The sequence below is a fragment of the Homo sapiens genome, chromosome 6, assembly GCF_000001405.40.
Source record: "Homo sapiens chromosome 6, GRCh38.p14 Primary Assembly".
NCBI lineage: Eukaryota > Metazoa > Chordata > Mammalia > Primates > Hominidae > Homo > Homo sapiens.
This window is the reverse complement of record NC_000006.12, coordinates 131278380-131291190: the sequence shown is the minus strand read 5'-3', so window position 1 is coordinate 131291190 and position 12811 is coordinate 131278380. Positions and strand designations below refer to the sequence as shown.

Genomic DNA, 12811 nt, shown 5'->3' with positions numbered 1-12811 from the left:
ATGCACGTGGTAGGGCCTGGCTCCTGGCTGCAGGCGTGATTCAGATCTGTGTCACATGTCTCTGTACTTCAAGTCTTTACTTGCTTCATGTCCACTAATATCCCATTAGCCAAAGCCAGTCACATGGCCAAGCCCAACATCAACAGGGCAAAGATATATAGTTATCCCTTGGTATACATGGGGGATTAGTTCCAGGACCATCTGAGTATACGCAAATCTGTGCATAATCAAGTCCCACAGCTGGCCCTGCTGAACCTAGATATAGGACAAGTCGGCCCTTGCATACTCAAGTTTCACATCCCAAGAAGACTGTATTCTTTATCTGCATTTGGTCGAAAAAAATTTGTATATAAGTGGACCTGCACAGTTCAAGCCTGTATTGTTCAAGGGTTAACTGTGCTCTGCCTTTGGTGAGATTAACTGTAAATTACATGGAAAAGGCAGTCACATGGAAAAGGATACACACAGGGATAAAGAATTGGGAACAATAATCCAATCTACCTCAGGCATAAACATCCCTATTTACCATTGGTTGGAATCCAAGAGTTCCACATGAATGATTCAACCAACCAATGATCAAAAATAGTTGGAGGGGAAAAAACAAAAAAAGTTAATACAAATAAAAGACCAATACAGTATCCATTTATAGCCTTTACATTTTATTAGGTATTATAAGTAATCTAGTGATTTAAAATATATGGGTAGAATGAACATAGGTTTTATGCTAGTACTGCACCATTTTATGTTAGGGACTTGAACATCCACATATTTTGGTATCCTGGGGAGGTCCTGGAACTAATCCCCCCAAAATACCAAGCAACAACTGTGTGTTGTTTTATTGCAGTTAGGTCTAGAGTATTCACTGATTTTCATTATGCTTAACAACTAACTATAAGATTTATTTAGGATGGGCATAAAAGACATTCTGAATGCACTAAAGTCTGGTGATTCTGTGCTAAAATAAAGTTTGAATCCCTACATCTGTACTTAATGTGATGTGCTCACTCTCTTTTGTCTGCTTACTTCATTCCTTTGATTTGAATGCTCCCTTGAACTTCTCTGTATATTTCCATGTGTGTCAATCAGGAGTCACCTTTCTCCAGGTTTTTGTAGAGCCAAAAGCAATAGTTCTTTCCCATTTCTATCTAAAACATTTCTATCATGATTCTCAGGGAAAATTAATATTTTTCTTATATGAAAATACTCCTATATTTCTAACATATAACTAATATTTCTTATATTGAAATATAGTAGTCCCTCCTTACCTTCGGTTTCAGTTACTTGGTGTCAACCTGTTATCGAGCAAATGGGGCTCCCTGCCTGATGTGCTGGAAGTCAAAACTGACACCAGATTTTTTGAGAAAAGAAAAGCTTTATATTGAAAATCGTCTCAAAGAGACAGGAGTCAAGCTGAAATCTGTCCCCCTGTGCTGGCCTTAAGGCAGTAATTTTATTAGAAAAAGTTTAAGGGGTGGATACTGGGATTAGCAGGTGGTTGGTGGAAGGAAAGGGGAGGTCTGGAAAGTCCGTGGGCATGCTCAGTTATCTCTTCATGCCACTTCATGGGTCCCGTGTGCAAATTCAGGGGGAGTTAGTATGAAACATGCAGTGGGAATTCAGGCTATGACTTCAGCAGGTTCATTCTGCACAAATGCCAGTCTGCTATCTGAGTTCAAACAGATTTCAGCCAGTTCTTTTATCTCATAAGAAGAGCAAATTTCAGTGTTTCAGCAGGTTGTTTCTTATCTGCCATCATGAAAACTCAAGAATTTCTGATAGACATTGCTTGTTGGTTTCTTTTTTTTTTTTTTCTTTTTCTTTTTTTTGAGATGGAGTCTTGCTCTTTCGCCCAGGATGGAGTGCAGTGGTGCGATCTCAGCTTACTACACCCTCCGCCTCCTGGGTTCCAGTGATTCTCCTGCCTCAGCCTCCCGAGTAGCTGGGATTACAGGTTAGCGCCACCATGGTCGGCTAATTTTTGTATTTTTAGTAGAGACAGGGTTTCACCATGTTGGCCAGCCTAGTCTCGAACTCCTGACCTCAGGTGATCCACCTGCCTCAGCCTCCCAAAGTGTTGGGATTACAGGCGTGAGCCACCTCAGCCTCCCAAAGTTTTGGGATTACAGGCGTGAGCCACCACACCCAGTCTGTTAGTCATTGGTTTCTCTAACTCTTTGGGACACAGTTACAAACTAAGTTCTGAAAATAAGTGAGCACAGTACAATATATTCTAAGACAGAGACCACATTCACATAACTTGTATTATAGTATAGTATTATAATTGTTCTATTTTATTATTATTGTTAATCTTACTGTACTTAATGTATAAATTAAACTTTATCATAGGTATATATTAGAAGTATAGAATAAACTTACCTGTGTATAGAAGAAAACATAGTATATATAGGGTTTGGTACTATCCACGGTTTCAGGCAGCCACTGGGGATCTTGGAACATAACCCCCATGAATAAGGGGGGACTACTGTACATTTATTATAGACTTTTCCTCTTAAGCATATAATGTAAAATACTTTAACTTCCTTTTTTAATGAAATGAATAAGAAATAGCCCTGTTATTATATTAAGTAATAATATGTTAATCATGTCATATTGTTTTAAAATTTGGAGGCTATCTTCTCTATTTCACTATCTAAGTCTACCCAAAGAATCACATAAACCAAGAAAATTCCTGCAACAATGGCATCATAACTGTCATCACAACTGATCCTTTCAGCCATTTTCCAAGTGCAGTAACTAGGTATTTTGATCCATGTCACATAAACTATGCCGGTGGTTTCATTTTCCTGTTTTCTATCCCAGTTCCTGATAATGTGTGTACAGAACCCCAGTGAGCATGTGCTCTTCGAGACTAAATTACTTCTTGATAATAGTGGAGGTGGGAAGGAGCACTAACTCTTTAACACTGCTGGGAAAGCACTATTTAATAGTGTACTCCTCAACTGGGGGTTGTGTGACCCCTGTCTGAAGTGGATTGGGAAATGTGTGGGGCACATTTTTGTTGTCACAATAACAAGAATCTGCTACTGGCATTTAGTGTCTGGGGATCTGGATTGGTAACTTACTATGCACAGAACCATCCCACACTACGAAGAAATCTCCAATCCAAAATGCCAGTTGTGCCTTGTGTTGAAATACTGATTTAGCGAGTAGAGCCTTTATTAGTCAAGATTTTTAGCTGCAAATAACAGAACCAACTTCGGCTAGTTTAAATGGAAAGGGAACTAATTAAAGGATATTCAGTAGCTCACAGAATCCTTAGAAGGTCCAGAAAATTAGGCTGGGTGGCTAAGCAGTAGGAACAATGCCTTATTACACTGCCAGCTGATCTGGGAGAATCCAGCTGGTGCTACTTTTTTACCAGCTTGTAATTCTTACACAGAATAGGGATATGTGGGATGTGGGACACCCCAGCCAGGTAGGGCCTTTGCCACTACTGCTTCTGAGAGCTGGCTATCTCTCCACCATCCCTGCCAGGATGAACTGATTCCATGCAGGGTTTCCCTGTTGCTTGGTGGAGCCCAGGTCACATATCTGAACCCCAGTGACATGGAAGGCTGAGGGTGAGTTCTTGGCCTCCACCTTGGGGCCTCTGTCCCAGGGAAGCAAGGTTCACAAGGTAGAAAGCTACACGAAGACAGAAGAGGAGTTCAAAAGATACTGGGCAGTCACCAAGTGTGACAAATGCCCACCAAATCATCAAAGGCCCTTGTTACCTCTCCCTAAAGACACTTCTTGAGCATGGACCTGGGAAAAACAGCTTCTAAATTTGTCTTCCAGAATCTTGAAAAGATATGCTTAGTATCTCCCCACTGTTGCATATTCATTCTATTTTCTCTACTTCAATTAGCATATCAGATATTCTTTGGATTCGTGCATAAGTATCATTTTCGTTTCTTTCCTCAGCACTGTAATTCCTGTCCAGCTGTAAGATTAATTTCTTTGTCCTCTTACCTCCTACAACTTCATATATCCCACATTAGTGGTTTCAAAATAAGATTTTTTGAAATTATGGATAAGATAACATATGTGACTAAAAAAAATCAGTGAAGACAATGTCTTTCGTTTGAAGATATTATCATGGCAATATTGTGCCCAAGTGGTTTTGGGCAGGAAGTATCAGGAATAATTTAAAGCATTGTACCAGGCCAGGTATGGTGGCTCATGCCTGTAATCTCAACACTTTGGGAGGCCAAGGTGGGAGGATCACTTGAGGCCAGGAGTTCAAGGCCAGCTTGGGCAACAGTAAGACCCTGTCTCTACAAAAAATTTTAAAATTCACTGGGCATGGTAGTGTGCCTCTAGTTCCAGCAACTCAGGAGGCTGACACAGGAGGATCCCTTGAGCTCAGGAGTTGGAGGCTGCAGTGAGTTATGATCTGATTGCACTGCTGCACTCCAGCCTGGGTGACAGAGGAAGACCTTGTCTCTAAAAATAAATAAAGCATTGTACCAATTTACTGTGTTTACCTAAGAACAAGAGCTGCTTCTGCATATACCAAAAGTTGGCAGGACTGCAAGCAGGACTGTGTCACTTTTCTCAGATCAGTCAAAGAAAGTAACACGTAAATATATAGGGCAGTGTCACTGAATAGTAACTTTTCAGAAATAATGCGAACCATTACAGGGAAAGCAACATAGATTTACTGAAAACAATGAATTTCTTACTTTAATTGTTTCTTTGATGCTGTAATAGAATTTCATGGTCTTCCAATAAATGATTAAATGATGGAATATGCAGAGGAGTAAATATTGCAGTTTACATTTTAAAATCATCCCAAATCACCTAACTTTATCAGTTACACTTAATGGATTCAAATAAGTAGTTTTGAGCATATCACCTTGGAGATGATAATAGCACCTTCCTCTTTAGAAGCTCTCAAATTACCTTATAAATAAGCCTTTATCCTCAAAACTGTGATGCAGAAATGAAGTGCTGTAGTTAACATCACAATTTTAAATTCACTGACTCTAAGTGAACTGCTTTAATATTCATTTTCACTGTGAATGAAATAATCTAGGGACTTGTCTCATTAGCATCTGTGCTGCTCTCAAATTCATATAGGGACCTAGAAACTATTTTTTAAAGTACACCAAGTTTATTTATTTTTATATGAAGTCTATCTACCTAGGAAAACTGGAATTTAGGGTTGTATCTACAATTTGTTTAAAGTTAAAATTATTATAGGTGAGATTTGAAAGTGTTGAAAATAAGGGATGACGAAAGGTTATCCATTCATCAATTTATGTGTGGAGATACTAAAAGTTTAAATTTACAGTATAAAATCTACAGTTTGTATAATGAAATAAATCACTATCTTGATTGTATAATGAAATAAATTCCTAATTTGCTCCATGATGTGATAGATGGTTTCTGCATCTGTGATCGAATGCAGAGAAGCAAACACATCTGTTTGGTCACATGCCTGAAATAATGTCCAGAACATGAAGTCAAACTGCTTTAATTACCTCCTTATGGGAGTGCCTGGCTGCTGGGATGACTGGAAGGTAACACATTTGGAGTTTTGGAATGAATAATTTGAATCTTAAAATTATTAATCTTAAAATTAAGATTTTTTTGTCTCTAAATTAAAAATTATTAATCTTAAAAATTAAAATTTATTGAATATAAATCTAGTATATCTCAAAGCCCTATAAAAATAAATACTTCTATGCTGAGAAGTAGACTAATACAATAATCATCTAACATTTTATAAATGGGTCCAAGTTCAAAGCTGACAGAATTTTGTCCTGCTGTTGAAAATATTACTTTTTGACATTCTTAATTCATCTAGGACATATTATTTTTCCAGTGATTGATCCCCAAAAATGTTGGCATTTGTTGATAAATATGAATATGTGCCACTGGGGCTTCCCTACACGAAGCTGACAACCAACACAAGTCAAACAGAGTGTAAAGTCTTCTAGAACTCTAAGCTCTTCCTGCCAACAGATGGAACAGCGTGGCCCCTTCAAGGCCTCACATAGCAGTAGCTAACTGAAACAGCGGTGTCTGCATGAGTAGCATCATGGTGTGGTCACAAAGAGCACTGTTCTAGGATCCTTGAAAATCACCTTGCCAAACTCTTTCCAATTCCAGATTGGGCAGTGAGGCTCAGAAAAGTGAATTAGTTTGGTCAAGATCATGTGTCAGTGGTGGACCCAAGTCTAGAAGACAGTCTAGAAGGCCCAAGCCAGCACTCTGTTGCCAACCACGCAGCCTCCCTGTCACAAGACAAGGCTACATAACATACAGTACCGACTCAGGACAACTCACTCTGCCTACGTGACCCAAAGAGCAGTTATTCTGTGACTAATGGGAATAAAGTCACTTGGAACATTTCAGATCCCAAACATAGAGTTCTGCAAATTAATGTCTTATTCACTTTTAAAAATGGAAAATAAAATTTTTTATTTTATACCTTCCATTTTCTTCATAAACCTTCTTAAATGGAGCTTTCATTGGTAAGGATTAGAATCCTTAATCCCTATATTAAGTATCTGGGTGATGTGATTTTCAGTTCTATCACATCAGCTGATCACTCTCATGTAAGTTCAGAGAAATTCAGGGCTGCAAGGAAGCTGGTTTAGTCAAAAGAAAGTGACTTTCCTTTTCTTACACTTTTTAATTTGTCAAGTATATCGTACTTGGTGGAGAGAAGTGCTGCATTTTGGAAAAAGTGTTGGCTTTGAATTAGAACAGATCATAGTTTAAATTTGGCCTCACCTTTATTAGCTTATAACCCTGGGCTATTTAACCACACAGGGCCCCTGATTCCTAATTTGTAAAAGTACTAATTACTTCCTAATAGGGTCACTGAAGGGAAGAAATTTAATCATACGCCTAAATCACCTGGCACACAACCTGGGACTTAGTATTTAACAAAAATCATGATTTTAAACTAAAATAACAGTAAGACATGTAACCCCAGATTGCAAAAAGTATATACTATTTTAGCCTTTCAAATTATCTAGATGGACTGGGAATCGCTCCCAGAGGATATCTGTATATACACGCTGAGAAGTGCCTTCTCTCCAGAAATACTGTTCACTTAGATTATGGGGTGGTAAGGATAACACCGGGGCATTGACATAGAGCCCCAGGTGACAGTTCAAGTCCAGTTCCCTGATAGCAGTGGGGCCCTGGATAAGGCATGCCACCTTTTGGAGTCTGTTTCCTTGTTTGAAAAACAAGGCAAGGCCAAAACTATCTTTGCTTTCTACCTTAAGGATTTACTTAAAGAAGCCATTTACAAACAAACAGTCAAGCCCTCTACCACTGAAAAGGGTTTCATGGCAAACAGCTCCCAGGATTCTGCACCTGGATGGACCTCCACTTTTCATCTTTGCTAGGATGTCACATCAGTGACACATTCTTAGCTGTTTATAAGACGCTATTTAGATTTTCTTTGAATTTAAGGTTCTGTTGTTAATTCTCTGTGAAGCTGACTGATTTGATATGATTTTAAAGGGTAAAGTTGAAGGTGCTTTGACAACTGTGCTCTCTTAGCATGAAGGACGGGATCATAAAGGTGAAGCAACACTGAAACTAAACTATTGGAGCTCCGATTTATGACTTCGTTACGCCAACATAGATCCAACTACTCTCAAGAGTGAAAAAAAGAAATGAGGAAAAGCAACAAGGGAAAACAATATGTTTATTAAGAGCCATGAAAATGCATAAACTCATTTGTAAATAAATGTAGTATAATTTACCCAGTGAAAAAATAGCTAAAATCCATGAGTAAACTGGATTTTATATTTGAAATGATTTTACATATTTGATCTCCAGTGATTTCCCCTCCATCATGATCTACTCCATCAATGACTATAGAAAAAGTTGTTACCAACAATCATCATACCGGGGAAGTTTTTCAAGATGCTCTTTCAAACAGAAGCAGTGCAAACAAGTTCAGATGGCAAGGGATACGATAAGACCTGGAGCTTATCTTCGGACACGTAAAAAATAAAAATCCCAAACATGTATTCCTTAAGAAATGAAAAAGCAGAACAACATTTTGATCAGTGAAAAATATTATAAGGATATATAAAACATTCTTAACCAGTGATCGCAATAATTACATTTATAAATGTTCATTCAAGTACTATTGTTCAATAAACATTCAAATTCTCATTAAAAGTAACACTAGATGTAGACACACCTGGACAACGCTTCTTTTGATTTAGCAACAATTGTGTCAACAGGAGGCAAGTGACCCTTAAAATACTGTTGTTGGCTCTGTTTTATTCTGTTTGTGAATGATTTGTTCACAGTCTGTATGTTTTTTTCTGCAAGGACCCGAGAAATATCTCACAACAGCTAATTAAGAAATCATTTCTATAAAATAACTCTCAATATTACAGAAACAGATATTCTAAAACACAAGTGTAGCTCAAAAAATAATTGGGCAGAATCAATTTTCTTTGGCAAGAAATTGCTAATTCCTCACCAAATGTTGGTTTGCTGTTGTGCAGACACTATCAGAAACTTCTTTGGTGTTTACCAAAGAGCTACTTAATAAGCTGAAAAGATTTCATAAGCTATGTTGTCACAATCGCAATGTAGAGCTTATGTCAAAGTTGTGCTGAAATCAACGTCATTTGCTGAATTACTGTTGTTAATAAGTCTTCCTTCAAAAAGCTCCCTCCTAATTCTGGCCTGAGTCTCAGGCTTTAATAAAAGTTCCTTTATCTGTTTCACTTTGGACTTCAGACCCATCGTTTCTCGATGCAAAGCTTCATTAATTAAGTCTCGAATTCCAATAGGTTTCTTGCCTAAGAAAAAAAAATTATATAATAACATTTCATTAAATATGGCATACTGACTTATCAAAATAGGATTTTAAAAAAACTTTAAAATGTTGCCCACATTTTATAGAAAAGGTTGCATTTCACCAAAAATATATCATTTACATGAAACATAATTTACTATAAATAAAGATCACACTGCATAGCAACAGCACACTTAGGACAAACATGAAACATTATGGACTAATTGTACAGATGACAATTCCAACAGTGATTATTTTAAACTTAGCACTTGATAGCTGTGTGTGAGAGTTCTGGCCTCAGATAAAGTAGTCAAATGCCCTGCTAAGCAATATAAATGGCAGTATTCCATTGATGGCAAGGCCTCTTTCTCGGCCTTTAATTTGCGTCCAGGAGGCATAACCCAAAGTTCCCTTTCCCTTGTGCGTGGCTGAGGGCGAATGAAACTTGGGCCATTCTTCTTTCATCAATTAATTTCCTCTGCCAGTCCCAGCACTCCATTTTTCTTCTGTTGTGTTTCAGCAATGCGAACACATCGATCATGAAAAGTATTAGGCAATCTTCACAGATTGCACCAGAGAAACTTAACTTAAACAGCACGCTGCAAGTCAGTCCCTAGACTCAGCAGAGGGAAGCAGGGAGGCTTTGCACAGAGACATGGGGGCCTGCGTTCCGGGCTCATTTCCTGTTGTTCTCATTGTCATTGCCATTCTGATCAGCTGCTTCGGTTTTCACAGAGCTCCCCTCCCCCGGCTTGTTTTTATTCTGTGTTTCCTCCAGATACTGCTGGACAGCCTTGAGCACCGCGTTCTCCACCAGCCTCTTACTGAGCCTTACTAGTTCAGCGTCATCGGGCTCCCCTCCGTTCTTTTCACCTACATTCCACAATAGAGAAGAGAGGTCACTGAGATCACATTGCCATAGAAACTTGGCATGCAGGGGCCGGCTAGTTCCATTGGTTAAAAAGAGCAAGTGTAAATTGGATCTATAAATTCAAGAACAGTGGGTTGGCTTTTCATTTGGTATTTGCAGAAGCAGGAGCCTGTCTATTCCTGAAGGCTTCAGATTGAAAAGTAGTTCATTAGTCCCAATCTAGACAAGCTCTACCTACCAATGCCGGATGTTTCCCATTTATATGTGAATTTCTGTTCTTCTCTCATCCAAGGCTAATTACTACTACTAACGTCCATGTCCCCACCACGTGGAGTCTCAGACATGTGAATTCACTAAGTAGGCCTATGTCTGCTTCTCATTCTCGAATATCAAATATCAGGTCATCAAGATTTCCCTAGCATCTCATTACTTAAGATCACTAATTTAAAAATGCTTGGCCTATAGGTTGGTTGTTAATAAATGCTCAGTGCTGCCTTGAAGATAAAGGCAGTTACTACCACTAGGAATTGGTTTAAAGTAAGCTTGTAAGACTAATATTTTTTTTAATCCCAGTGCTATCACTGCAATTTAAGAAATAGGAAATTCTTTAAAGAAAAATTAGGATTATGATGATAAATTACTAGATGTAAATATTTTATGGTCATTTTACTTCCCTGGGAGTGATAATCCAGGTCTAATTATTCCATCTTTCATTTTATTCTAAAAGAGCTGGTTCCCAACTATTCTCATGCTACACATTTCCCAGTCACTCTCTTTCAGACTCCTTTAACTGGGAAAAGGAACTAAGGGGCTCCTTCCCCAGTTAAGGGAGACAAAGAAGAGAGTGACCATTCAGTGCTCAATCTCCTCCCATCGAGCTGGGGACCCAGGAAAGAACAAGGTTGGAAGCAAAGAAGTCACAGGATGCTCGCACATTAAGATCAGCTCAGTTTTGCAAGATTACCCATGGGTTCTAGAAGGCAAAGCCAGTGAGTGTTGCACTTGCATCTCTGGGTCTGAGACAGGCAGATACAAAGGGTGTGAGCTGGAAGATGGACACTGTTTCCTGTACTCACATGTAATAGGGATTGAAGAACAGAAGCAGGTATGCCAAGGGTGAGAACTGGCCCCCAACCTTGCTTCAGAGCCCCCTACTTGTATGTAACACCCATCAAGACTAATTGTGCTTATAACCATCCCCATCATTCCTAGCAACACCCTAAGCAGAAGAGAGGGTAGGATAAGACCCATCTAGAAACACTAATAGTGGGAACCCTTAGCAACTGCCTTCTCCTCAAATATGGGCAATATGGCACCCCAGACCCATGATCAGATGTCCAAGATAGAACATCTGCAGTGCAAAATATGTTTAGAATTGAGTAAATGTCAACTCAGTAATAACTAAATAGAACTTACTAAATAATACGGTTAAAGAAATTCATTGGTAATGTATTTACTATGAAAGTAAATTCATTGGTAATGTCATGTTGGGTGGCAAGTTAAGACTTTTTGTTTATCAGTAGGAATGAATGAATATATTGCCTAATATTTAGGGATTTTATCTCAACCTTACAACACGGTGTTTATACTCTACAGACAACATCTCCAAATGCATTAACTGGAACTGTTTGTATAATGACTCTTCCCATTTAAAAGGGAAAAATCCAACTGCAAATGAAGGAATACTTTTTAAGTACCCTCCAAAACACTGTAAATGACTGTCTACATCTGCCATCCTACTTGTGCTCTGTATCAAGGCCAGACATTGCACCCTGGGGGCTGTTCCTGAATCTAGTCAGCTTTCTCATCAGCAAGATGACAGGGTTGAATTTGAGTCCAATGAATGGCTCAACCTCCAAATCCCTTTTGGGTCTAATGTTCCATGCTTCTGTGATTTCTACTAGTCCACAGTGAAGTGTCCCTGTTATCTTAAACACAAGAATCTTCCTACAAAAAGCTAATTTTGGCCAGGCGCGGTGGCTCACGCCTGTAATCCCAACACTTTGGGAGGCTGAGGCAGGTGGATCACGAGGTCAAGAGATCGAGACCATCCTGGCCAACATGGTGAAACTCTGTCTCTACTAAAAATACAAAAATTAGCTGGGCGTGGTGGCATGCACCTGTAGCCCCAGCTACTCAGGGGGCTGAGGCAGGAGAATCACTTGAACTCAGGAGGCAGAGGTTGCAGTGAGCCGAGATCGTGCAACTGCACTCCGGCCTGGTGACAGAGTGAGACTGTCTCAAAAAAGAAGAAAAAAAAAGTGAATTTTCCCTGCTGATGTCCTATTTTTGTTTATGCTGTTACTATTATTCGAGGCAGTCAAGCTCAAAACGAGATTGTAGCCATCTTTGATGCCTTCCTTTCCCTCATTAACCCCCTTAATTACCAAGCTTTGTCAATTGTGCTTCATGATTTCTCCCGTCTTCAATGTGCCAGGTATAAAACCTTTAGTTATTATTTCTAATACATCTCTGTCACTATTTACTCTACAGAGAAACGTCTGTCTGCCAAGGCTTTCCAAAATTTGCCTTTCCTGGCTGCCTGCCCACCACTGCACACCTCCACTGTCAGCTTCCAACATCTCCTCAGAGGCTTCCACACCATTCCCAATTTCTAGACGACCCTCCCTCTCTTTCAGCAATTAGAATACCATCTACTCCATGAAACCTTTCCTGATTAGCTAATGTAGTGTGGATTTGTGTCCCCACCCAAATCTCCTGCGGAACTGTAATCCCCAATGCTGGAGGAAGGACCTGGTGGGAGGTAACTGGATCATGGAGGTGTGTTTCCCACTTGCTGTTCTCATGATAGTGAGTGAGTTCTCATGAGATCTGGTTGTTTGAAAATGTGTAGCACCTCCCCCATTTTCTCCCTTCCTCCTGCTCTGGCCGTGTAAGATATGCCTGCTTCCCCTTCACCTTCTGCCATGATTGTAAGTTTCCTGAGGCTTCCCCAGCCATGCTTCCTGTACAGCCTGTGGAACCATGAGCCAACTAAACCTCTTTTCTTTATAAATTACCCAGTTTCAGGTATTTCTTTACAGCAATGCAAGAACGGACTAATACCCTATACTAGCTGGAACTGATGAGCCTCCACTGGATTCTAATAACTCTCACTGCATGTATAGTACATGGCCATTTGGTCATTCATT

General features: G+C 39.3%; 1 protein-coding gene across 18 annotated transcripts in view, besides 2 other annotated features; it reads right to left on the bottom strand.

Annotated features, from left to right (window-relative positions):
- Positions 7659-12811, bottom strand: part of AKAP7 (A-kinase anchoring protein 7) — a 157906-nt gene continuing 152753 nt past the window's right edge. For 12 of the 18 annotated variants that reach the window (NR_164833.1, NR_164832.1, NR_164834.1 and 9 more), the window contains one exon: positions 7659-8792. Coding sequence is in view for 13 of the 18 variants with exons in the window: in XM_017011509.2 (XP_016866998.1) it covers positions 8587-8792 (206 nt within the window). In the remaining 5 variants the exon portion in view is untranslated. Of the gene's footprint in view, positions 9662-12811 lie in introns of all 18 variants that reach the window. The other 6 variants (NR_170717.1, NM_016377.4, NM_001387860.1 and 3 more) reach the window with 2 other exon arrangements.
- Positions 8842-9350: an enhancer, noted in NCBI's record as "H3K27ac hESC enhancer chr6:131602981-131603489 (GRCh37/hg19 assembly coordinates)". NCBI's record gives its function as "activates a minimal SCP1, AML or CMV promoter by ChIP-STARR-seq in primed H9 embryonic stem cells {active_cell/tissue: H9 hESC(primed)}" and the evidence as "EXISTENCE:reporter gene assay evidence [ECO:0000049][PMID:30033119]".
- Positions 9351-9859: an enhancer, noted in NCBI's record as "H3K27ac hESC enhancer chr6:131602472-131602980 (GRCh37/hg19 assembly coordinates)". NCBI's record gives its function as "activates a minimal SCP1, AML or CMV promoter by ChIP-STARR-seq in primed H9 embryonic stem cells {active_cell/tissue: H9 hESC(primed)}" and the evidence as "EXISTENCE:reporter gene assay evidence [ECO:0000049][PMID:30033119]".